At 35.9% G+C, this 26014-nt stretch overlaps 1 protein-coding gene and 1 pseudogene across 9 annotated transcripts in view, besides 2 other annotated features; one reads left to right on the forward strand and one right to left on the reverse strand.

Moving 5' to 3' along the window:
* The window catches only part of NAP1L1 (nucleosome assembly protein 1 like 1), a 48101-nt gene that overhangs the window by 11953 nt on the left and 10134 nt on the right, over nucleotides 1-26014 (reverse strand). For 4 of the 9 annotated variants that reach the window (NM_004537.7, NM_001330231.2, NM_139207.5 and 1 more), the window contains exons 2-14: nucleotides 25666-25702; nucleotides 20372-20457; nucleotides 18834-18936; nucleotides 11601-11742; nucleotides 11261-11341; nucleotides 7496-7624; nucleotides 6482-6553; nucleotides 5233-5372; nucleotides 4668-4813; nucleotides 4554-4573; nucleotides 1994-2116; nucleotides 1219-1248; nucleotides 663-713 (exon numbers count right to left, since the gene is read on the reverse strand). In NM_004537.7, the coding sequence (NP_004528.1) occupies nucleotides 663-713; nucleotides 1219-1248; nucleotides 1994-2116; nucleotides 4554-4573; nucleotides 4668-4813; nucleotides 5233-5372; nucleotides 6482-6553; nucleotides 7496-7624; nucleotides 11261-11341; nucleotides 11601-11742; nucleotides 18834-18936; nucleotides 20372-20457; nucleotides 25666-25682 (1140 nt within the window). In that variant the 5' untranslated portion in view covers nucleotides 25683-25702. Of the gene's footprint in view, nucleotides 1-51; nucleotides 989-1218; nucleotides 1249-1993; nucleotides 2117-4553; nucleotides 4574-4667; nucleotides 4814-5232; nucleotides 5373-6481; nucleotides 6554-7495; nucleotides 7625-11260; nucleotides 11342-11600; nucleotides 11743-18833; nucleotides 18937-20371; nucleotides 20458-25665; nucleotides 25703-26014 lie in introns of those variants that run through there. The other 5 variants (XM_047428879.1, XM_017019340.3, NM_001330232.2 and 2 more) reach the window with 2 other exon arrangements.
* Nucleotides 5173-5673: an enhancer, noted in NCBI's record as "H3K4me1 hESC enhancer chr12:76447490-76447990 (GRCh37/hg19 assembly coordinates)". NCBI's record gives its function as "activates a minimal SCP1, AML or CMV promoter by ChIP-STARR-seq in primed H9 embryonic stem cells {active_cell/tissue: H9 hESC(primed)}" and the evidence as "EXISTENCE:reporter gene assay evidence [ECO:0000049][PMID:30033119]".
* Nucleotides 6803-7715: an enhancer, noted in NCBI's record as "OCT4-NANOG hESC enhancer chr12:76449120-76450032 (GRCh37/hg19 assembly coordinates)". NCBI's record gives its function as "activates a minimal SCP1, AML or CMV promoter by ChIP-STARR-seq in naive H9 embryonic stem cells {active_cell/tissue: H9 hESC(naive)}" and the evidence as "EXISTENCE:reporter gene assay evidence [ECO:0000049][PMID:30033119]".
* On the forward strand, nucleotides 8893-9781 carry DENRP2 (DENR pseudogene 2; annotated as a pseudogene).

Here is a 26014-nt window from a genome sequence, read left to right on the forward strand (position 1 = left end):
CCTTAATTATAACAGTAGCTCACTGTTGTCAAAAGAAATGGTATAGGACAATGGTGGTAAATTATTTATTTTATTAGCAAGTCACTGAAATGCTAAAATCAAGCTCAAACTTTACACTGTAGAATTAACTCCATAAAATGTGACACACGCTAAACCATAATCTTAAAAAAATAAAGTTACCAAGCAATTTATGTTAGTTATATTACCAATCAGCTTTGTTTTTGCTAATCCTAATATAACAAATTCTCAGGAATAATAGACTAGGACTCTCAGGGACTGAGTAAGAGTAGTTGGAAGGATCTAACAAACTGCACTGCTCCCCAGTTCCCGAACACTCCTACAACCAGATCTTTTAAAAACCTTTATTTTCTAATGCTTAAAAACTGTTACAAATCGTCCCATTAAAATAGAATCCTAGGGTTCACTGTACCTGAAACTATAAAAAGCACGAAGTCCAAACAAAAAACAATGTTTTTTAGAAAAACGTCCACTGAAATTATGTGTACTGTTCACAATGCCAGTGGGACTGAAAAAACAAAGTTATCCAGTCAATAGGCTTTATTTATTAAAGACTTTAACGGAGAGAAACTTGATATTCAAAAACACCAACTCTTACTTTAGCTATCTTAAATTTAATAGAAAGCAGCACTAATTTTGCTCACCTTTGGGTCATAGTCTGGATCATTTTCCTCATCTCCTTCTTCTTCCCCTTCCTATATTAAAGTTCAAAATGCATCCATGAAGTATGTACATAGTAGGTAAACTGGCTCATAATGTAGGGAAAATTTAATACAAGTTACTCTACGGATCAACAGATTTTCATGATTACAGACTTTGATGATAATACAATTTAATTTGAAAGCTTCTAATATGAAAAATTTCCCAACACAACTTGAGACATCCAGACAGCTTTTATTGAAAATAGTTACTGCAGCCAACGTTGGAAAAGTTTACTGCAGCTTTTGACTTCTTCAAAGAGCTGATAACCCTGCAGCAGAACAAAATTATTTGAAATAAAAAAATGTTGCTGAGTTTTGCAATTTATTTATTGAAACCTTATACATACATTGTTTGGCTGTAGAATTCTAAAATCATGTTTTCCAAAATGTTTTTATCCCAAATCACAGAATGATTATAGCAAAGGAATACATAAGTCATTCAATTTGCTTCTCAATGTGTTAACCACAGAGAATTATTTGCTCATTTGGTAAACATTACCTCATCCGCTTCTTCACCTTCTTCATCATACTGAAAAGGAAAAACAGCGTTAAGTGTTGAGTGAATGTAACACACATTTCAGAGTAGCATCAGTAACATTTATCACTGTATAAACTAGTGTCTAAAAAGAGAAAACCTACTTTCCTATCAAGGGGCTGATTATAAATTAAAACACATAGTAGCTGCAAGAATCACTCTGCTCACTGCCAATTTATAAAATTAAAGAACAGAGTACAATCATGTGGATAAAGTGGATGATCAGACAAGTATTACTGTAAATATTACTCACCTACACTTAAGTGTGGAATGCACTGTACGAAAAGGACCTAAAGCCTACTCTAACAATTGCCGTTGAGCAATAAACATATTCAAAACATCTATATGCAACCTAATCTTAACCTAACCATCATTCAATACTACCTTGAATAGAAATTCTATGCCTCCCAGTAAATGTTTTCTTGTGCACTAAAGAAAGTCCTAGCTCTGTGAAGTCAAGGCAAGGGCATAATAGATCTATAGCACTAACCAAACATAAAAAAGTTTCATAAACTCAGAACAATCTTATTAGCAGAAAATTAAAAGCTAAGATAAATGAATCCAAAAATCCTAAGGAGACATACTTAAAACCCAGAAAAGCTATATACAGAACATCAGTAATTAGCCTAATTTTGAATTATATTATGTCCTGCTTCTTAAAAACTAAACTAATCTATTACCAATTCTGACCACTATACCCTCAACCAATTATTTCTTTGCAGGATTCAAATTCGCTTACATCATCATCATCATCTTCAATAGCTTCTCCAGTAAAATATAACACTGATCTTGGGATTATACGCTCACGTAAAAAGTGACCAATTTCGAAGTCTGCAGCAAGGATAGCTTCAGCATCATCATCCTATTTTTAAAGGAAAACAAAAGCAGAAAATTTAGGAATAACTGTGTTACTTAATTTGGCACATGTAAGACTCTTAGAGGCTGGGTGTGATGGCTCACAACTGTAGTCCCAACACTTCAGGAGGCCAAAGTAGGAGGATCACTTGAGCCCAGAAGTTCAAGAGCAACCTAAGCAACATAGTGAGACGCCCCCTGCGTTTGTACAAAAAATAAACAATTAACTGGGCAGGGTGGCACACGCCTGTAGTCTCAGCTACTTGAGAGGCTGAGGTGGGAAGATTGCTGGAGCCCAGCAGCTTGAGGCTGAAATGAGCTGTGATCACACCAGTGTACTCTAGCCTGGGCAACCGAAAAAAAAAAAAAAAAAAGACAGACTCTTCAGTTTAAATTATATGATGAAGGGAAGAAATGCTCAACTTTACTTTTTACTTTCCATGATTTTTCTCACACCATGTTAACAAATGATTTGTCATTTTTAAATTTCCTTAATAACTTTTCCAAGTTTTTAACAAAAAGAAAATAAGCTAGCAGGCCAGTATGCATACTAAGATAAATTGTGAAGAATAAAAATTAGAACTGCTTAGTTTTTGCTGGTTTAAACATAAATACATAAAAGCAACTGTTACATGTCCGCAATTTTCCTTTTAAAATATTATTGAAAACACCAAATAGAAAAATAAAAAAAAAAACCCTTGGGTTATTGTTAATATATAGTTATTGTTAATATTGTTAAGTACATAGCAAATAGAAGGACATAATAAACAACCACAGAGGATCACTTTATAGTTCCTAAAAGACAGTACCCAAACAGCTGTACAGTTTTAAGTCTACTAATCCCAAATGAGACAGTCCTAGTTCAGAAAGACAATATACTAACTAAATCAGGTGCCCCTAGCACTTTTCTTTTTTAGAGACAGGGTCTCGCTATGTTGCCCAGGCTGGCCTCAAGTGATCCTTCCACCTCCGCCACCAGAGCAGCTGGGACTACAGGTGCCTGAAGCTGTACCTGGCTTAGGATTTCTATTTAATAGAAAAGCACAGGGCAAAAGTGGGTCTGACATTATTCACAATTAAAATAATCCCACTTTGGCCTGGCTCATGCCTGTAATCCCAGGACTTTGGGAGGCCAAGGCAGGCAGATTACCTGAGGTCAGGAGTTCAAGACCAGCCTGGCCAACATGGTGAAACCCCGTCTCTACTAAAAATACAAAAATTAGCGAGTTCAATGGCACGTGCCTGTAATCCCAGCTACTCGGGAGGCTGAGGCAGGAGAATTGCTTGAACCCGGGAGGCAGAGGTTGTGGTGAGTGGAGATCGCACCACTGCACTCCAGCCTGGATGACAGAGCAATACTTCATCTCAAAAAAAAAATAATAATAATAAAATAAAATAATCCCACTTCTATGATACTAAACAATGATACAAGTTCTATGATACTAAACAATGAGCACACCCTCTGTGAATTCCATGAATGTTTGAGTCAACAACATAATCTAATAAATAGAAAAATCCAAAAGGGGGTGGGGAGGAATTCAAACCACAGGTGGAGGTTTTCTATCCTTAACTAGACTGTTTTGTCATCATCAATATTTAGTAACAAACAAACAAACAAACAAAAAAAAACCCCAAACTTGAACACAAACTCCAACCCATCCACTGATATGAAAATAGTGTGATGCTCTATCTTAATACTTAAAGTAGTTTTTCTCACCTGAAATTCACACTGCTTTATGTTCTCTTTTTTTGTCCTATAAGCCAAGCCAGAAATACTTACTTTTGCCTTTTACAAATTTGTTCTAAGTCTTAGCCAAGAGTATTCCAATTCAAAAGTATTCAGTTTAGGTTAATTTCTAATTCCATATATGTACAAACTATTTAAACTATCTCAGTTAATTTAAATTCAAAAACATGCCCAAAAGAAAACCAAATTCAAAACATACCTGCCCTACCTTGTGTGTATAGACTTTCTTTAAGGTTGTTCCTCAGTTCAGTCTATATGGCAGGAACATTTCATGTTCTTTGCCATATGCCATATATGTGAACATACTTAGTCACAATATGAAACCATATTTACATTGGAGTAACAAATTCAGGAATGAATTTGAACCATAATGTAGTTAGGAATGTAACAGTATAAGTGACTTAATATATTCTGGTTTTACTAAGGAAGACAACAGTTTTGAAAAGTTAAATCCCTCACAGCAATATGTGAAGTTTCAAAAGAAAAGAAAACCTTAAGCTTTTTATCTCAGTGTTTCTCAGCAGAAGCACTGATATAATTTTGAATGGAATTATTTTTCATATCCAAAAAGTCTGCCCCATGCATTGTAGGCCTCAGAACTCAATGTAACAACCATCCCACTCTCCATTTTTGAAATTCAGTGCTTTAATTTCAAATATACTTAACAATTCAATAAATATATAACAATTCAACTTACCAGATCTCCACTCTCAGGAACTGCAAAATTGAGAAAAGAAATTACAATGAATAAGAAGCTAAGCAATGCTTTTTATAAAACAACCGTTAATACTCAAGCTAAAACATTATTTACCTTCAGGAGGGGCAAAAAAGTTAAAGAAAGAGTCATTGGAAACTGTTTTAGTCACAGTACGAACTGTCCCACGTCCCTTGTGTTTCTGCTTCTTCTTAATAGTTTTCAAAGTGACATTCTTTCCTTTTTTCCAATCTATCTGGCACCTTGCAAAACAAAGAAGAAAAATCTATTACAATTGACAATCTTTCAACTGCTAAACTTTTAGAAGTAAATGTTCTATTTAGATTTCAAATTTTAGAAGGGTGAATTGCTTCAAATGTTTTCTATAGCAGTATAAAGGGAAAAATTTTATTTCTAAGCAAATATTTAAAATAAACACATTTACAATTAGCACAAACACATAGTATAATTTAAAGAAGCATTCCTCTGCAAAAATATATGTGAGACAGTCATGGGTCCAAGGAGAATTACAGGAAACTTGATAAGCACTTTTCAGAAAACATATTACCAAAATGTTCAGAGACAGACTATGTACATATGTAACTGAAAATAACCGAGTATACAAATCAAGTATAACAAAAACAGAAAAAACATTTTGTTAAGGTAGTAAAATTAAACTCACCCTGTACAACCCATAATTTCTGGTCCATCAAAAGAAAAGGGATCAGAATCATCTGGTTCTGACCTCATCCTGTATGTCTTTGTCAGCACTTCATTTGTAAAATATTCATTGGGTTCAAAGTGAAATTCTAAGACAAAACTCTGGGGAGAGGAAGCATAAAAATCAGTTAAATACCTACCTCACATATTTCAGTACTTTAGTAAACACAGCTTCATCTGTTTTTATAAATATTCTAAATGATAATTTTTTTTTCTACTCTGAAATACAATCTTCTTTTTGAGACTGAGTCTTGCATTGTTGCCCAGGCCGGAGTGCAGGGGCACAATTTCAGCTCACTGCAACCTTTGCCTCCCAGATTCAAGTGATTCTGGTGCGCCAGCCTGCCAATTATCTGGGATTATAGGTGTGTGCCACCACACCCAGTTAATTTTTGTATTTTTAGTACAGACAGTGTTTCACCACGTTGGACAGGCTGGTATTGACCTCCGGACCTCAAGTGATCCACCCACCTCGGCCTCCCAAAGTGCTGGGATTACAGGTGTGAGCCACTGCACCCAGCCATGAAATATTTAAGAATGGGACAGACTGTCAGATGAGCCCCAAATTATGTTAAAATCAAAAAAATTACGTTAAAATAATAATGAGGTACAAATTGAACTGAATAGAACTTAGTTTCAATTTACATCTATTAAATAATTAACATGTTTACACAACAGGCTAGGCATTCCTGAATAAAGTGACCATGTTGCCTCCCTTACTCCCCAACTACTGGAGGAATCAGGCTTTTAAATAGTAGACTAAACGTGAACTTGACACAGAAAAAGCCCAACCTTAAGCATCTACAGCCTATATTCTTAGCAGTTTTGCCCTTAGTTGACATTAATTCTGGTGGTTTGGTGGACAGCTTGTTGGCTGATCTTTCCTCATTAGGGAGTGGGCATCCTCTAACATCAGTTTTGTGTAATTCCCAAGCTCATGCCTTTTAATGCAGAAAAAGTACTTATTCATGTTCCCTTGGCATTATTTTTATCCACTTATCCAGGAACAAGGATTGTCTGTGTTTCAAACACAATTTATGATCAGAAGGAGGAAAAGGAATAAATACTGCCTCACAATTAGCAGCATCCAAATATTTATTCACTATAACAAAGAGCACCAACCTTACCCTTGAATGTTATCTTTTTAAAAGCTTCTATTTATCTACCTGTAAGCATGTTACAAAATTATAAATATTTCAAAGTTCTTTTACCATAGGCTGGCCAGCATCTGAGAACTTCACTTTAATATCTTTCAAGTGCTTCAGAATAGGTTCATCGTGTTCCTTCAAATTAAAAAAATAATAAAAATGAATAACATGGCATTCGAGGACTGTGTTCTGTTACTACACAAACACCAGCTGACTGAGACATAATATATTTCAAAGTAGTTTTGTATAGCAATTATGAACCTTAAGACTTACTCTCCAGGTTATGGCTTATACTAAAGCTAATTTATACTGTAGTTCTACTGCCACTGGTAGAGAAAAAGTGTCCAAATAGACAACTGAATTATTATATAGGTTGAAAAATCCAAAATCAAGTCTAAATAAGGCATATCTACTTTTAAAATGTTTCCTGATTGTAATTGCTGCCTTTTCCAGCTGCTTGTCCCCTTCCTCCTGGTCGTTCCTTTTCCACTTTGCTAAAGTAGAATTGTAATAAGCAGTAATTGTGTGAAGATCATTTCTTTTTCTCCATGTAACTTCCAACAATGACAAGACAGGGCAACATGTACTACTACAATGTAGACGGTAGGGGCTCACTCAAGAAATGCTTGAGGCAGTTTCCCAAAGGTGACAACAGTTATGGTTTGCCAGAGAATGTAACCATTGTGAATGAGTTTAACATCTTTATGGTATTCTTTTAAAATGCAAATTTCTCCTGGAAGAGTTAAGGGAATTGCATAATTGCAGCTATAAGATTAACTTTCCCATCATACTTCCATACTAAGTATGTAAAGACAAAAGGCACAGGGTTATAAGAAAACACCAGTCGATAATGAGCCATTATCAATGGGACCATTTCATTATCTCATTTTTTAAAATAAACTAATTTATTTGATTACATTAATCAAAGCTGTAATTTCTCTTCTACAGATATTAGCTATTTCAAAAGTAAGCAATCATTCTAGAAAGATCAACACTGAAGAGAACAGTGATCACAGCCATTTAAACTTCAAAGGTTTACCCTTCAAAGTAAACTGGTACATTTATGAATAAAATTACCTGAACCATATCACTGAGCAAGTCAACATTCTTAAAAACAGTTAACCAAAATTCAGGAATTCCTTTGGGGTCTTCTTTTTCTTCATCTTTTTTCTCATCTTCAATCTTGGCCTTTTCTTTCAATTCCTCCTTGATTAAGTGACAGCAAACATTATTTAATACATAGATTAGACCTCATGATAAAGTAGCAAAGGTATAAAAACCAAAAAGCACAGTCACCAGATATTACCTTCAAAGTTCTAGTCTATCTGTGTAAACACCGCCGTTGCCCATAACAAACCTTAATCCCATCAAAATTACTGCTACCACACCCCTCCAAAGAGAACCACTAAGGTGACCAAGATGTGTAGGAAAAACCATTTTAGTAAAAAAAAAATGTAAAAACTAATTAAAAATGAAGACTTAAGCATAATAAACAAGAAAAGCAACAGAAATACTAATTTGGTCCATTGCCTCACCCCATGGTGTTCTTAATCAAAACATTATATTCTCTTTACCAAACAACATAAAATAGCAATGCTAGAGAGGTGGAACACTTAACACAGCACTGAATGTGTGTCACAGCTCTGCCATTATTCATTGTGGGCAAGTCACTTAGAAGCCTCCATGTCTTCACTTGAAAATGGCAACAATCCTCAGCCTACCATGAAGTTAAAAAAAAAAAAAGAATATAATGAATCTACAAACTAAAAACTGTAAGCCAGGCGCAGTGGCTCACGCTTGTAATCCCAGCACTTTGGGAAGTGAGGTGGGTGGATCATTTAAGGTCAGGAGTTGGAGACCAGCCTGGCCAACATGGCGAAACCCCATCTTTACTAAAAGTACAAAAAATTAGTCAGGCATGGTGGCGCACGCCTGTTATCCAGTTACTGGGAGAAGGAGGCAGAAGAATTGCTTGAACCCAGGAGGTGGAGGTTGCAATAAGCCGAGACTGCACTCCAGCCTGGGCAACAGAGACTCAAAAAAACTATAAAAATAGGCTGGGCACAGTGGCTCAGTGGTTCAAGCCCATAATCCCAACAGTTTGGGAGGCTGAGGTGCGAAGATTGCTTGAAGCCAGGAGTCTAAGACCAGCCTAGGCAAGAAGACTCTGCCTCTACAAAAAAAAGTAGATTAAGCTGGGCATAGTAGCTTCAGATAGTCCTAGCAACTTGGGAGGCTGAGGTGGGAGAATAGCTTGGGCCCAGGAATGAGCTGCAGTGAGCCAAGATCATGCCAGTGTACTCCAGCCTGGGCAACACAGCAAGTCCCTGTCTCTTAAACAAAAAAACTATAAAATGTAAGGAAATAATGACTTTTTGAGTACAGATGGTGGTGCCAGGTTGAATAACAGTTCATCTGCATTATCATTCTTACAAAAAGGAAAAATATTTCCTAGGTATAAAAATACAACTGATGCTCTAGGGAGGCCCTGGCCGGGGAAACGAGTTGCATTTGTCGGCTCAGCTGGCAACAGTGGCGGGAGCAGAGCTGGCGGGGCCTGTGCAACTGCCTGGGTTTGTGAAATGGCTGCTGACGTTTCCGATTCCAATAGGGCTGACTGCAAAGGAGACCCAAGGAACAGAGCCAAGTTAGATGCTGATTACCTACTTTGAGTCCTTTATTGTGGAGTCTGTTCATTACCAATAGAGTACTGTGAATATATGCCTGATGTTGCTAAATGTAGACAATGATTAGAGAAGAATTTTCCAAATGAATATGCAAAACTTACTGTGGAAAATTCACCCAAACAAGAAGCTGGAATCTGTCAAGGTCAAGGAACAGCAGGGGAAGAAGAGGAGAAGAAAAAACAGAAGAGAGGTGGAAGGGGTCAAATAAAACAAAAAAACAAAGACGGTACCACAAAAGGTTACTATAGCCAAAATTCCCAGAGCAAAGAAATATGTGACAAGGGTTGTGGCCTTGTAACTTTTGAAATTGATCTTAAATCACACAAAGATTTTTTGCTCAAAAATTCTCCTGTGGTGCCTCAGTAACAGAGGAGGATGAAATTATCATTCAAGGAGACTTTACAGATGACATAATTGAGGTCATTCAGGAAAAACAGACAGAAGTAGATGATGACAGCATCGAAGATCTTGGAGAAGAAGTGAATTTGAAAATTTGTCTGTAGTTAATGGCCTGAACTGACAGTAGATATGGCCAAAGGGAGAGAGGCCTACATATATATATATATATATATATATATATATGTATTCTACAGTAAAACTGTAGACTGCCTTCGTTCTTGGCATTTTCCCTGTTCTGTACAAGGCTGCTTATTTTTTTATTGCCAAAGTCAAATAAACAGGAGAGACTGTCATGCTCATACATGAACAGAATTTAGTCAAATAAAAAATTTTGGTTATTTGGTACTTTTTTTTTTTTTTTTTGAGACGGAGTCTCACACTGTCGCCTGGGCTGGAGCGCAGTGGTGCGATCTCGGCTCACTGCAACCTCGACTTCCCGAGTTCAAGTGATTCTCCTGCCTGAGCCTCCCGAGTAGGTGGGATTAGAGGCACCCGCCTCCACACCCAGCTAATATTTTGTATTTTTAGTAGAGATGGGATTTCACCATGTTGGCCAGGCTGGTCTCGAACTCCTGACCTAGTGATTGGCCCACCTAGGCCTCCCAAAGTGCTGGGATTACAGGCATGAGCCACTGCGCCTGGCCTTTCTCTTTCTCTCTTTTTATTTTTTGAAAAACCCGGTAGACTTTGCGGTGACCATTTTTGTTGATTATTTTACTGATCTAAAGCTGAGTGATTTTTTAAAAGAATTTGAATTTGGCTTCCTCACCAATAATATGTCTCCTTGCTTCTCTGATGTGATAGTTTTGAGATGGGTGAGAATCTAATATATCTGTGGTTGAATTTGCTTTGCTGTTATCAAGTCCACCCTATGGGCACAATAACATACTGTTGGTAGGAGTTGTTGGAGCTATTCTGGAGATTATTTGGTAAAGTATACTAAAAGCCTTAAAACCACGTATGTGCACTGTTTGAACCAGTAAGCCACTTCTTTGAAATTAGAAGACATTAGAAGAAACAATAAGCCTTGCAATAAAACTTATGGATGAAAGTATTCATCACAATATGATTTATAATAAAAAATTGCAAATGTTATAAGTGAACAATTGGAAAATGGTTAAGGAAGTGATGGTGCACTGTGTGGTATGTTTATGTTTAAAGATGTGGTATGCATATGTTTAAAGAATCATATTTTCTAAGATTATTTGGAAACATGTTTGGTAATGTCAAGTGGGGGCACCCCAGATACATTTTAGACATTTAATCATCATCGTTCTGAGAGGAAGGCCATTCAGAGATGCTAGAGGTTCTTATTCTGGATATAAATTACATGAGTAAAATTCTACTAACCAATTAAAAATAATGTACAACCATGTTCAATATACAGTCCTGGAAATAGCAATTATGTCTTTTCACAAGAGAAAATGACAGTTTTAATGCTCCATCAGATGAATTCGAACTTTAAGTCAGGTGCTGCAAATTGGAAATAAGACTTGTGGTGTTTTAAACTGCTGTGGACACTTAAGAAACTTAGAACCCATGAAACCGCTGCTTATTGCCATGCAAATTACAATCTTGAATGACTGTTTTTTAAAAATAAAGTAATAGAAAAACGTGTAATAAAGACGTAAAATTAAAAAATGAAAAAATACAACTGGTTATATAATATTGTACTCCATCATTAAATGCTAACATTTCTGACAAGTCCTAAGATTTTATCATCTTAAAAACATACCAAAATAAAGTTGGTACTAACCGAAATCTCATCTTCTTCATCTGGTTTCCATTCACATTCTTCTTCCGTAGGTTCATAAATTGCATTAATAATTTCAAATCGCTAAAATGATTTAAAAAAAAAAGGCTGTATAAAAACACTGGCATCCAAGCTAAAACCAGTGGTTTCTCACTAAGAAGTCTTACAAATTTAACAAATGCATACCACAACTTTAACTGCTATTATTGATAGTTCCTCCAAGTGCTGCCTCTAATAACAATTTCAATGAGAGTTCTAAAGATTAACCTCTTCCAAGTCTGCTTATGTTTCTAGAATTCGTCTTCTAGAATGTTAAATTAAACAAAGTAGGAGAAAGCATTACCTTATCAAATAGAGGCTGATAGAGAACAGCATACTTCCTTTCAAGATCGTGAACTTCCTCATAGAATTTGGCTTCTATCTGTGCACATTTAACTTGCAGGTTTTTGAGAGCATTCACTCGTCTTTTAACTACCCTAGGCAGGCTGAAAGGTTAGAAATCAGTTATATAGCATCAGAGTAAAATGGAAGTCACACTTCTTTTGTCATACTGAAACTGAAGCATTGGAGTTAGTGAATGACAGGTTTTTTATCTGAAGCAAAAGGTAGATTCAAAGTAAATAAAAATCAAATAGATATAAATACATTGATCCACTGGCTATATTTCAAAAGTAGAAATGTAACTGGGTAAATTGATAAACAAAATGTAAATCATATTGTCAACCCTAAATCTTTACCCAAGTTAAGTGTTGGACTTGTCATTGCTGAAGTCATGGACAGACCATCTTAATTCTGAGAACAATGATTACTTGGATTTTTCTTTTACATATATCTCACCCATACAAGTTATTAGGAAAAAGGAGGGGAGCATAGACATATCAGGAAAAAGGACAAGATTCCACACACCATTATTTTTTTAGTCTCCATATTTAATTAGGAATTAGTAATTACATTATTAAATACAAGTGTAACATACTATAAAGAGGAGACATGTATTTTTAAAATAACAGCTTTAGGGCCAGGTGCTATGGCTCACAACTGTAGTCCCAGCACCTTGGGAAGCCGAGGCAGGTGGATTCCTTTAGCCCAAAAACTCAAGACCAGCCTGGGCAACATGACAAAACCCTGTCCTTACAAAAAATACAAAAATTAGCTGGGTGTGGTGGTGCATGCCTGTGGTCCCAGCCACTTGGAAGGCTAAGATGAGAGCATCACCTGAGCCTGGGATGTCGAGGCTGAATTGAGCAAGATTGCACCACCACTGCACTCCAGCCTGGCTGACAGAATGAGACCCTGTCTCAAAAATAAATAACAGCTTTGATGAGATAAAGTTCATACACCATACAATGAACTGTGAAGCACTATTTTGTTAAAATTTTATTTTAGGTTTAGGGGTGTATGTGAAGGTTTGCTATACAGATTATTTTATCACCCAAGTATTAAGCCCAGTACCCAATACTTAATTTTCTGCTCCTCTCCCTCCTCCCACACTCCACCCTCAAGTAACCCCAGTGTCTGTTGTTTCCTTCTTTGTGTTCATGAGTTCTCATCATTTAGCTCCTACTGGTAAGTAAGAATGTACGATATTTGGTTCTCTGTTCATGTGTTAGTTTGTTAAGGATAATAGCCTCTAGCTCCGTCCACGTTCCCACAAAAGACATGATCTCGTTCTTTGTATGGCTGCAAGTATTACGTGGTGTATACATTTTCTGTATCAGATCTGTCACTGATGGGCATTTAGGTTGATTCCATGTCTGCTAATGTGAACAGGGGGCACTGATTTTTAAAAGGTTATACACACTAGGTTATGAGTCTCCTAAAGAATGATTAAACCTCTCTAACAATAAATGTTCACACTTAAAATTTAAATAACTTCAGGGAATCTGTGCAACAGATACAAAATCCAGGTTAAACTTTCCTGCCACAAACTTTTGTAAATCAAATAATTCACTTACTTAGCCACCAGTTTACTTAAGATTATTAGAAATAAAAAACAAACACTTGAAGATATCAACTTTCTATTTCTGTTAATTTTAAGTGAAAAGCACTATTCTGCCAAGGTGGTGAACTGGCATGGGCTTCTGGCTTTTCTTGCTCCCCCAAAAAGCTAATCCCAGAAACTTTAGAACAAGAATGAAGTAACTACTGAGGCACACACACACCATAAGCAATTTCAGGTAAGACTGGAGGTTGTGTTTAACTGTACAGGGTAACCAACAACTTAGGGAGGGAATGGCCACAGCAGGTAGCAGTGCGGACAAACTGGAAGATAGCAGTTCCGCAAGAAAGCTTTTTAAGTTCTGCTCCTGCCTTGCAACAATCGTTGTCTGTCATCTTCACCCTTCACAAGAGCCCAATGCGAGGGTTGATGAAAGCTGCACGGTTCAAAGCCTTCAAACATGTATTTGATCCAATCTAGGAATGATGAATTGACAACCAAAGGAGACTAGTCCCCCACCCTACAAAGCACACCATAAAAATTGCCTGGACTGGCAGCAAACTTTCAGTGTAAGGCAACTAGTGCTCTACTACTTAGGCTCACCCTGCGCCCTTCTCCTTGTCACAGACCTTCATTTCTCCCCAAATATTCATTATTAGGGTAACTGGTATTGCCTAATGTGCTGGAGCTCAGAGAATAACTAGAAACTTCAAGGGTACAATTTCTATGAAAGAGTGAATGAAATGATTATCATCTGAAGCAGCATAATTAGAGAATTTAAACAAGAATGTAAATATACTTAGAGATGAGGAAGATTGACATGCAACAAGACCAAGAAATCTACAACAGACTGGGAATGTTAAGTATGAAAAATACAATAACTAAAATAGGCAACAAATAAGAGAAACAGGATAGATTCGACTGAAGATAAAGTCCATGATGTTGAAAAGTTCTACCAGAAGGCAGCATGAAAGACAGATGGAAAATAGAAAAGCTCTGAGATATGGACGACAAAAGTAGCAATAGCTGACAGAGAAGGGGTACGATCTCTTCACATATGAGAATGATACATTTCTCAGCATTAAAGCAATATAAAAATCCTTACTCTGCTTCCTAGACATGTTAATGAGATTTATGAATATCACAGACAAAAGAAAATTCTAAAGGTGTCCAGTGAGAAAGAATAACCTACAAAGAAAAAGGAATCAGACTAACAACAGGCATTAAAAGAAACACTGAAATAAAGAAAAAAATAAATTGTAGTTTTTAAGAACTCTGAATTTACTATTTCATAACCAAACTATTATTCAGATATAAAAGCAGGACAAAAATTATATCAGGTATACCAGGCTTCAGGTTTGCCACAGATACTCACTATATATTACTAAAAGCAACTTTTGAGGAAAATTTTTTAAAAATCCAGCAGATTCTATTTAAGGTATGGGTGTGGTCAAATATCTTGGTAAATTTCTTTCCTTGAAGGGAAAAATAGAGGGCCAGAGAAAGCACATTTATGAACAATATAAATATTGGTAAATTTAAGAAATCAACAGGGGTAAATAAACTTAGATATTAGGTTATAAGCCACTACCATAGTAACAAAAATCAATGCCATTAACTTTGGAACCAGAAGGCGACTTGATCTATCCAATGGGAAGCAGAAAAGAAGGAAGAAAGACCCAAAGTAAAATAAATTAAAAAATAGAGAAAGATGGCAGCAATAAATCCAAAAACAATACAACTTCTAAGAAATGCAACTAATAATAAAGAAGCAAACATTGAGGCCGAGTGTGGTGGCTCATGCCTGTAATCCCAGCACTCTGGGGAGCCCAGGCAGGTGAATCACTTTAACTCGGGAGTTCGAGACTAGCCCAGGCAACATGGCAAAACCCCATCTCTACAAAAATACAAAAATTAGCCAGGCATGGTTGTGCATGCCTATAGTCCCAGCTACTTGGGAGGCTGAGGCAGGAGAATCACTTGAGCCGAAGGATGAGGCTGCAGTGAGCCGTCATTGTGCCATGGCACTCCAGCCTGGATGACAAAGCGAGACACTGTATCCAAAAAATAAAAGCAGCAAACACTGATACTAGAGGAAGACACACAGATGAAAAGATGGAAAAAAAAGACATACTAGGTTAAAAGTTTAAAAAAAAAAAAAAAAAAAAAGAGGCTGGGGGTGATGGCTTATGCCTGTATTCCCAGCGCTTTGGAAGACCAAGGTGGGCCCAACAGTTCGAGACCAGTCTGGGCAACATAGGGAGACCCCCATCTCTACAAAAATAACAGCCAGGCATGATGATATGTACCTGTGGCTCCCAGCTACTTGGGAGGCTGAGGTGGGAGGATCACAGTGAGCCATGAGTGTGCCACTGTACTCCAGAGTGGATCACAGAGTAAGGCCTTGTCATAAAAGCTGGGGGTTATTATTGTAATATCAGACAAATAAAAATTATGACCCCCCCAAAAAACATTATAAAACACAAAGGAAGACACATATCAGTAAAATGAAACAAGAGAACAAGAAATGTTCATCACAAATATCATACACCTAATATGGCTCCAAAATATTTCAATCTACAAATGACAGAAAAAACTGTCAGGTCAAACAGACAACCAATAAGCAGAAATAAAGAGAAGCTGAACAATACAATAAGCTTGAGCTATTAATTTCAGCATACAGATCTTCACACTCAACATTTACAAAAGTAAGAGTATTAAGGCCATAAAAAACACAAATTAAAAAATAAAAATCAAATGAATTAAGCATTCAATTTAAAAAACTGGAAAGAATAACATAGAGCAATCCTAAAAAAGAGATAACAGCAGCAGTAACAAAAGACAGTATGGAAAAGGAAAACCAAAAGCAAAATTAATATTCTAAAAACTTAATAAGATCAAGACAACCAGCAGAATTAAGATGCAAAATACAGAATATGAAAACCAGATTTTTAAAACTATTGTAAACTATGTACTAATCAATTTTAAACCTAAATATGTACATGTTTAAAATATGAAACTCCAAAACTGATGAGAGAACTTGAATAAATTAGTATGTTTAAAAAAAAAAAAATTCTCCAAAACTCCCCTGGACCTCTACTTCCCCAACTCCAAAGTCCCAAAGTAAATTTTTAGAAGAGTTCTACCCTAAGAACTGCTAATTGCTATCTTATGCAAGTTGTTTCAGGAAACGAAAAATTTTAAAAGCTGCTCCATTCCTTAGGCAATTGAAATCTTGACTCCAAAAACCAGTTAAATATTACCACTTCCTGAAACTTTCTTTATGCACATACATACATGCATGCACACAACACAAGCTCATTTCACTAACAAGTAAGAACTGTAAAATTCAATTACTCAACAATGTAACAATAACACATCATGATTCAATTTACTACAGGAATGCAAGGCTAGTTTGATATCCAAAATAAGTATTTCCAAAACATGTATTTACTATTTACTTAATATACTGAAGGGAAAAGTTCAATAGAGCATCTTAATTGATACAGTTAAAAAAAAAAACCAAAGGTCAGATTAAAAAACAGTAAATAGGCACTGAATTTAATGGAGATTTTATATTCATTCCCAGTATGAATAGAAATAAGACAAAGAATACTAATGTTTAACACAGTAGTGAAAGTCCTGGTAATGTTGTAAAGAAAAGTATGTGGTATAATGTAATGTGGAAGAACAGAGCTAAAACTGCCATTATTTGCAGATAAAATCTTGTGACTGGGGGGCAAAACAGAACACATTACTACAATAAATTTAGCAAAGTTACTGGATACAAGAGCAACTTAAAAAAAAAAAAAACAGCAATCCTCTGTAAATCAAGAACAGCCAAACAGAAAATACAAAAAAGATGCTATTCACAACAGCCACACAAAATATACAGAAATTAACTTAACCAATAGACTCTATGAGGATAACTTTGAAACTAAAGACACAGAATGTGACCTGAATAATTAGAAGTATGTGGATGAGACAATATTAAAAGATATAATTCTGTAAATCTACAAATGCAATATAATTCCTATCAACGTTTTAAGGTTTTTTTGCTTGTTGACAACCCTGGTAAACTTAACTGTCAAAAATGTGGATGATTGGGGGAGAAGTATGAAAGGATGCAACCTGCCCTGCCAAATATTAAGACAACTATAAAGTCATAGTAATTAAGTATGACAATGACAAGAGACAAAGACCAATAAAACATAAGAGTGCTGCTCAAAGACAAACACGGGTGTTTACAACTTGATATGCAATGAAGGTAGGTGGTACACCTAAATGGGGGAACAATGGATTGATTAGTGAATAGTGTTTAAAAAAAAAAAAAAAACTAGCTCATGTCACTGGAGGAGGACCCAAAATAAATAAATAAATAAATAAATAAATAAATAAATAAATAAACAAACAAACAAACAAACCTGGCTCAAAAAATGAGGCAGAAAAAAAAGGAACTGGAAGCCTACGTACAACTAATACAAAGGTAGACTCTAAAGGGATTTAAGACCTAAATGTAAAAGGTGAAACTATTCAATACGAAATGTAGCAGAAACCAGGAGGGACTTCTTAAAAAGTTTCAAAAGTACAAGCCCTAGGGCAAAATATTTTACTAAAATAAAACTTAACTGTTTACCAGAGGACTCCATGGATAAATTTGTAGAAATGACACATTATTTAGAATGTCTAAAAACTGACAAGGGAATAACATTTGGAATACAAAGACTTTTGCAAAGCATTAAAAAAAAGTTGCAATCCCAACAAGAAAGTGGAAAAAGGGTACCAATGGGCAACGAAAAAGGTTCAAGCATTATGTAGAAAAGCTAAAAACTCATTAGAAATCATAAAATACAAATAAGACAAAATGAGTCCACACCTCTTAGACTGATTTAAAAATAAAAACAAAAACACTATGAAGCTGGATGGTGCCAATTGTTGGCAGACATGAAGATGAATCTATCTTCTTGCATTGAGTACAGTATTTCTGGAAATCATGCTAGAAGTTTAATACTTAAAGGCTTCCACACTCTATGTAGGTGGCAATCCCACTGCTGAGCACACATCTCAAAGAAATTCTCACACAGTTCCTTTACAGGACATGTACAAAGATGTCTATAACAATAGAATTTGTGTTGATAAATAAGTCCATCATAGGAAAAGCAGATAATAAAACACAGCGAACACATACCACAGAGAACTAGGCAACATTTAGAAGCTACTAACTATAATTAACATATAGACAGTAACTGAATGGATCTTAAAATCACAAAAAAGTTTTTTAAATGTGTAAGCTGAGTAAGATATTCATGCTATTAATAATGATTTATGTCATCAGTGAAATAAGAAATCTGTATTTCTTCTAATTCTGTGCATTTCTAACATACCTCTAAACAAATCTCTGAAATGCTCAAGATCAGTACACTTCCTATAAACTTGAACCACAATAAATAAACTTTAAAAGACCAATGCAAACAGGTGGTACTAAGCACAATTTTAAACTTCTAATAATCCTATACTGGATACTAACAGACAATAGGTTTCCACTATTGCATATCTAAATCCTAGATGGTCTTAAAAATAGATACGCCTGCAACGTTGATTATAGAAAGATAAATAAGGACTATGGAAAAGCTGTACCTTTCAATGTATCCTGTTGGTGTTTCTACCAGACCATCAAGTCTTTCTTGAAGGGCTGCAAGAATCTGAGGATTTTGCATCATCTGAACAGTTAGCTGACGTGCTTTAAAAAAAAAAGGGCATCGAAAGAAGGATTTTATGAAAATGTATTATGCTTTTTTAATAGGACAATCCAATCTCATGAAGTTTTCCTAACTGGCCCATAAATTGCTGGTATATCTAATGAGTAGAGACGGGCAGGGAAAGCTAAAGAGAATACACTAAAGGAAAACCCAATGTTCAGGAATAATTCAGATTCCTAATCTATCTCTAGTCAAGACAGTTCTCAAGGCCACTGCCACAACTATATGAACAATATCCTTTCTCTTCCTGGTATCCTGTGTTTCACCCACCTTGCATTTTAAGAAGCTCAAAGCTTCATTCAGATGCCTATCTATGACTCTTGACAGTCCTCTGAATGCAGACAACACATATCAGAAAACTGCAAATATACTGACAGTTTTAGGCCCAGGAGAAAGATGAAGTGAGTGATCTGAATGTTTATGTTTGATGCTTGTGTAATGTATTTCTATGTGTATGAATAAAGTTAATAAAGTTAATAGTTGGGACAGTCAAAGACTGTAACTAAAGCCAAACAAAATGTGGTTTTCAATGGCTTTTTAAAAACATACTCAATCCAAATATGCACTAGACTTATACAAAACAAATTACAGTACTAACCTTCTCTTCATCATCAATACAGTTATTACACAAAGTGCCATAAACTTAATTTTCCCAATTACTTTTTTTGAGGTCAATTTACTTCTGATAATAATTCAATTACTAGATGATGTACACACAGCCAGGATAACCAATACAGATTTTTAAATATCAATATTGGTCACTGAGGATACAGTTCTGTATCTGTTAAGAAAATGTTACTAAACAAAAGCTGAAGCTATTAATACAAGTTCTGAAGTCTTTTCACAATTAACTTCCATCCGGCTTAAAAATGAAAAGCTGAGTCATCTGGTACCTTAATATTCTTGGCGCAGATCTACAAGACATACCCTAAGTAGTACAATCCCCCACCACCACTCCTTTTAAAAATATCTGCTAAAATAAATTGTGAATATTACCTACATTTAATAAATGGCTCTTCTGCTTGAAGGAGTGGATCTTTAAAAAGACACACACTACATGTTCTCCATATATTAAACACTAAACATACTGTTATAAGCACCACATCACAACCTGTAACATTTCTAAATTCAGACAAAACTCATGGGCAGCTGTTTGACACAAGTACACCAAGTCACTCCAACAGTGCAGGATGCAAACAATGACTTCTAATTGAGTTGCTGTATCTATACCTACCCGCCCCTTACACACACACACACACACACACACACACACACACACACACACACTAGAAGTATGGACCAGTAGATAAATGGGACAATGAGCAAGGGTCCAAAAAAATAGACTGGTACTTATAACTACCCTCTAGTAGACATGTGCCAGCAATCACTGGCTCCTGAAGTAATTTAAAGTAATACCTTTGAGTTTTGTTTCTTCACCAGTTTCCTCTTCTTCTACTTCTTCAACATCATCCAAATCTTGATCAAGTTCAGACTGTTCTTTGCTATAATATCATAGTATCACACCAAGGTTCAAATGTACCAATTACCAAAAAAAGTTACAGAAAAACTTAAAATTCATTTTCAAAATTAGTATCTCTTTCAAAGACATGAAATAGGAAATTCAAAAGGTAATTCCGTTTTCTAACTTCATATGTAAACAAGTACACACTGGAAGTGCTTACACTTTCATTAAAAGCATCTGGTCAAATGTAAAGTTTATACTTTTGAAGCTTTATAAAATTGGTTTTGCAGGTTTTTGGGGAATGTGATGTCAACAAGTACGTGCATTCAACCGAATATCTACTGATTTTACTTTTCCTTCTTAGTAACAACATTCTCATTTTATATGAGATGGCAACACACCAAGCTAAAAGTCTACATTTCCTAGCCTACCTTTAGCTACACTATTTTGACAGCAAGATAAAAAAGCAGAAATGCTGTATTTCTTTGAGGAAGTATCCTTAACAGGATGGTAGATAGCTGGGAAGCCTTTATCTTAATCCCTCTCCCCCTCCCACTTAGAATATGAATGTGATGGCTCAAGCTCCAGCAGCCACACTGGACCAGGAGGCATCCTAGAGAATGAAAGCCACCAGCTAAAGAAAAAGGAGTTAGGAAAACAGAAGAGTCCTGGATCCCTTATGGCTGTGGAGCAACAATACTAGCCTATACTATCTTTGGAGTTTCCTTTTCTTTACTTCACAGTGGAGGTGAGAAAGAATAAAGTGAAGACTTCTGAGTCTAGCTCTTGTTTAGAACAAAGCCAAGATGATAGCACCATTCAAAGAGAAGGTTAAAAATTAATAAGATAGCATCCTTCCCATTTCATCTTAAAAAAAAAAAATCACCAAAAATCTAATTATTGAACATGAGATTACATCTAGCATTAGAAAGGAAAATAAGGATTCCTAAGTCAATGTAAAACATCATTGTATAATTCCTGTGTAAATTTTTTATTTTAACATTTGGATTAGAAATGTAGTTGCTTTTGTGTCTAAACAGCATTTGAAAAATTAATTTTCCACAGGGACAAATAATGACTTAATTTTCATGCAAGTACAGAAAAAAATCAACTGTACTCTGCCAGCATAATTCAGTCTTCAGAAATGATACATACAATTTCTGAAAGCTTTTTTTTTTTTGGGAGACAGTGTCTTGCTCTGTCACCCAGGCTGCCTGGAGTGCAATGGCACAATCTCAGCTCACTGCAACCTCTGCCCCCCAAGCTCAAGCAATTCTCGTGCCTCAGCCTCCTGAATAGCTGGGACTACAGGAGTGCGCCACTGCACCTGGCTAATTTCTGTATTTTTAGTAGAGACAGGCTGGGCTGGTCTCAAACTCCTGGCCTCAGGTGATCCTCCCACGTCCGCCTTCCAAAATCCTGGGATTACAGGCATAAGCCACCACGCCCAGCCTATTTCTGGAAGAACTTTGATTTAGTATAAACTTTAAGTGTTTGATAAGTGTACACACTTAACGGTCACTGGTTACAGATAACTGGAGCATCTCCTCCTCTCGTGTCTTTAATCAATTGAACATCTATATCCAAAGGCTTTAAAACAGCTGTCCACAAACTATGCCCATGTGGCCAAATCCAGCCCACCCTATTATTGTAAATAAAATTTTATTGGAACACAGATGCACTACATTTATGTATTGTCTGCTTTCACACTACATCAGCAGAGTTGAGTACAGTCATCCCTCAGAGTCTATGGTGGACTGGTTCCAGGAAACCTCCCTACCAAAATCCTGGGATGTTCAAGTCCCTTATATAAAATGGCACAGTAATTACAACTAACCTATGCACATCCTCCTGCATACTTTAAATCACCTCTAGATTACTTATAATAATACTATATACCATATAAACGTTATGTAAATAGTTGTATTATGCTGGGCCAGACAAAGTGGCTCATGCCTACAATCCCAACATTCCGGAAGCCAAGGCAAGAGGATCACTGGAGGCCAGGAGTTCAAGACCAGCCTGATTAACACAGTAAGAATTCTCTATTAAAAACAAAACAAACAAACAATAGTTGTTATGTTCTATTGCTTATTTGTATTTATTATTGTGCTGTTATATTTTATTGTTTTTTACCCTAATATTTTCCATCTGCAGTTGGTTGAATTCATAGATGCAAACTCATGGATGCTGAACCCACAGACACAGAGGGCCAACTGCAGTTAGAGAATCGTATGTGGCCCAAAATGCTGAAAATGTTTACCACCAAGCCTTTTACAGAGAAAGGTTTACTGACTCTGGTTTTCAAGCACAAGACTCCCCTCTGACTTCCACCCTCCCAGGGCTAACAGGCATCCAAAATTAAATAATAAGGAAGGGGGAAATCAAGCTGTCACAACCAATTTACTCTTTTTAAAGTTTAAAATGAGAGTTGCAAAGTTAAGATGGCAGATGCCACAAACTCATCTGATCTTAATCCTTCTAAAATCTCCACTAAAATTATGATAAAGGGTTTTTTTGTTTTGTTTTGTTAGCAGGCTAACACTGAAATCAAAGAAAACAAGGGCAGCAACATTTTGGAAGCTGGAAACCAGACAAGTGATAATTTCATTGAGAGAACTGAAATCTAAGATTAGCAGTGGGGAAAGCTGAGAAGCAGCCCAATCAGTCTTCAAAAGGATAAGAACTGGTAGCACCAGGTACATTTCTAGAACTAGGGCAAGGGGTGGGACAGGAGAGAAGGTCGCTAAAACAAGAAAGTAAAAACTGATAAGCAGTTAAATCATTAGATCTTCTCTACACTAGCAGAAATATTCAGTTTCCTCTCAGGAAAGGGTAAAATTCAGAACTTGGACTGGAAGACAACAGACACAGTCAACAGTATCAAAGATATAGGACTATGTACACATTAGAATGCTAAATGTAGAGCCTCCTCTACATTTAAAGGAACACCAGAAGCCAGATCTTTACCCAGACACTGTTCAACGATGAATCTGACTAGCCCAGAAAAAAAAAAAAATGACCATTCTAACACTGGGGTTTCTAACAAATGCCCACTCTGGTGACCCTACACTGAAATCCCAAATTAACAAGCCTCCCCACTCCAACGCTCAAATTTTCCAATCAATTTTCTTTTTTAAACATGTCTGAAGTGTCCCTACACCCCACCCAATCCAATCTTAATGAGCAGCCAACCAAGTATTGATTTATATTTGAGGAAAGCATCCTAGATTGAGACCAAAACAAATGAGAGAAAGAAAATGTAAGAGCAAATGGACTATAAAGATGGAAGAAACATCCAGAGAAAAGACATTATCATCAATGAAACAAGAAGAGGATGCTATTTAAAAAAAAAAAAAAACAAAAAAACAGGAAGAACGAAGCAGGTCTTGGAAACTAAAACAACAGAAATTTTAAAACTCAACACAAGCTGAAAGTCTTCAGTTCTGTCCAGAAAGAAGAGCAAAGAGACAGAGATGGAAAATAGGACAAAAGGTCATGAGAGCAATCCAACACACAACATCTAATAGTAGCTCCAGAAAGAGAAAACAAATGAGACAATCACAAAGTTCAATCAAGAATATCCCTGAACTAAAAGCCACTGAATTGCTGCACTGAAAGGGTCCACCACTGAATATGTAACATTAAGAGAAAAAAATAATAATGTGAAAATTTCAGAACTCTGAAGCCAGAGTAGCTTCCAGAAATGTATATATAGTGTAAATGTACATATTTCTTAATTATCACACACAAATGGTTAGTTACAATGACTCTGAACTTCAACACAGCAACACTGGAAGCAAGGTGACAATGGAGCAATGCCTTCAAAATTCTGAAGAAAAATGATCCCATCTTACTATCCTACACCCAAACTATCCGGCATAAAGGTAGAATAGTCGTTTTCAGTCATGACATGTCTTAAAATAATTTAGCTCCCTTGTACTCTTCCAAGAAGGTACTAACAAACCGAGAAAGCAATGTGAGATATGGCAAACAACAAACCCAAGAGGAGAAACAAGGTGAAACCTCAGGAAGATAGTAAAATAGATCCAATGACAGCCATGTCACCAAGGTTAAGCAATCCAAATTAGAGGTGTGACACAGGAGACAATCACTTTGGGAACCATTATTATTAAAAATGCCGTTTCCACTCTTCTCGTTTTTTTTAATGCTGAAGACAGAATGCATAAGTCACTCATCTGTTTTTTTTTAATGCTGAAGATAAAATGCGTAAGAGTGGCCCAAATTCTTATTTGTACTTCTATGTGTTGATCTTGTACTGAAGTTTCCAGCCCTCCCACTATCATTCGCTGATGCCTACAACAGCTATGGAAAATAATTTAGCATCCCCTCACTCCCAAGTGCTCTATTTTAACACGGGCTACTGTAAAATTACACGCAACAAACACTGTGTACCTCATCCCATTCTTCCTGACCCTGTTTCTATAAAACATCCATCCACATTAGAATCCTGCCACATGCCAACTTGATTAAACCTATACTTCCCAGGACACATGACCTTGCCCAATACTTCTCCACAATAAGTCTTTTATAAAGCCTCACAAAACTTGAGGCCAGACTATGACCCAGATAGTCTTTCTTCCTTGTTATCCTATCTTATAGCCTTCAATTAACAGTGGCAAAGTGGCAATGTTGCTTTACATAGCTAACTTTGTGATCACTATTCAGATTTTCAAAATTAAACACTGATTATTTATAGGTGGTAAAGCTCTGAAGGAAAGCAAAGAAAAGAATTAGCAAAAGCCAGGATAGCACTTACATGTCTGCAAGGGAAAGGTGCAATTGAGAAGGGGCACACAAGGCTTCTGATAGTAATGTTCTATTTTTAACTTGTCTGAATATTCCTTAAGCTCTATATATAAATACATTTTATACACATTTTGGGTGTTTGGTACATTACAATGCAAGCAGTAAATCTTTGGGAAATATATACAATAAAAATGAATTCTGCAAGTATTTATAATCCATTATCATGCTCAGCATTTTCTTAAAAATAGTGACAAATGGTTTAGTATATACGATGGTTTCGAATATATGATCATAAATATGCTAATGATCATATATTCTATATTTTACCTTGAATACACTGCACTAGACTTTTGTAAAAGTAGGTACTAAGCATTAGTAACTACATTTTCATAATATATAATTCATACTACTTGCTGTTAAGAACAGAGTACAAAGTGATGCCAAATCTCTGAAAAAGAACCAACTCTCTGCCACTTACTTGTCAATGTCTGCCATGTTGTAAGAACTCCAAATATCTATGGAGAGAAACATCAATGTTAAAAAAAAAGTATATGATTTATTAAAAAAAAATAAGAAACCAAAACCCTTTAAATCAATACCATACTGAAAACTATCCCAAGAAATGTCTATTTCCTTTAAAATACTATCAGTGTTAAGAAGAAAAAACTCATGGAACATGCAAATTCTTCCTTACTAGTACCAAAAATAATTTTTCAGAGGATATTACTTAAAACAAAAAAGTTACCACTAAGCTTTTAGAATCTGTTGTATAAAGACTATGATAATAGCACCATTGGTTAAAAACAAAACTAACATTTGCTAGAATC

This window comes from Homo sapiens, chromosome 12 (assembly GCF_000001405.40).
Source record: "Homo sapiens chromosome 12, GRCh38.p14 Primary Assembly".
In the NCBI taxonomy this organism is placed as follows: domain Eukaryota; kingdom Metazoa; phylum Chordata; class Mammalia; order Primates; family Hominidae; genus Homo; species Homo sapiens.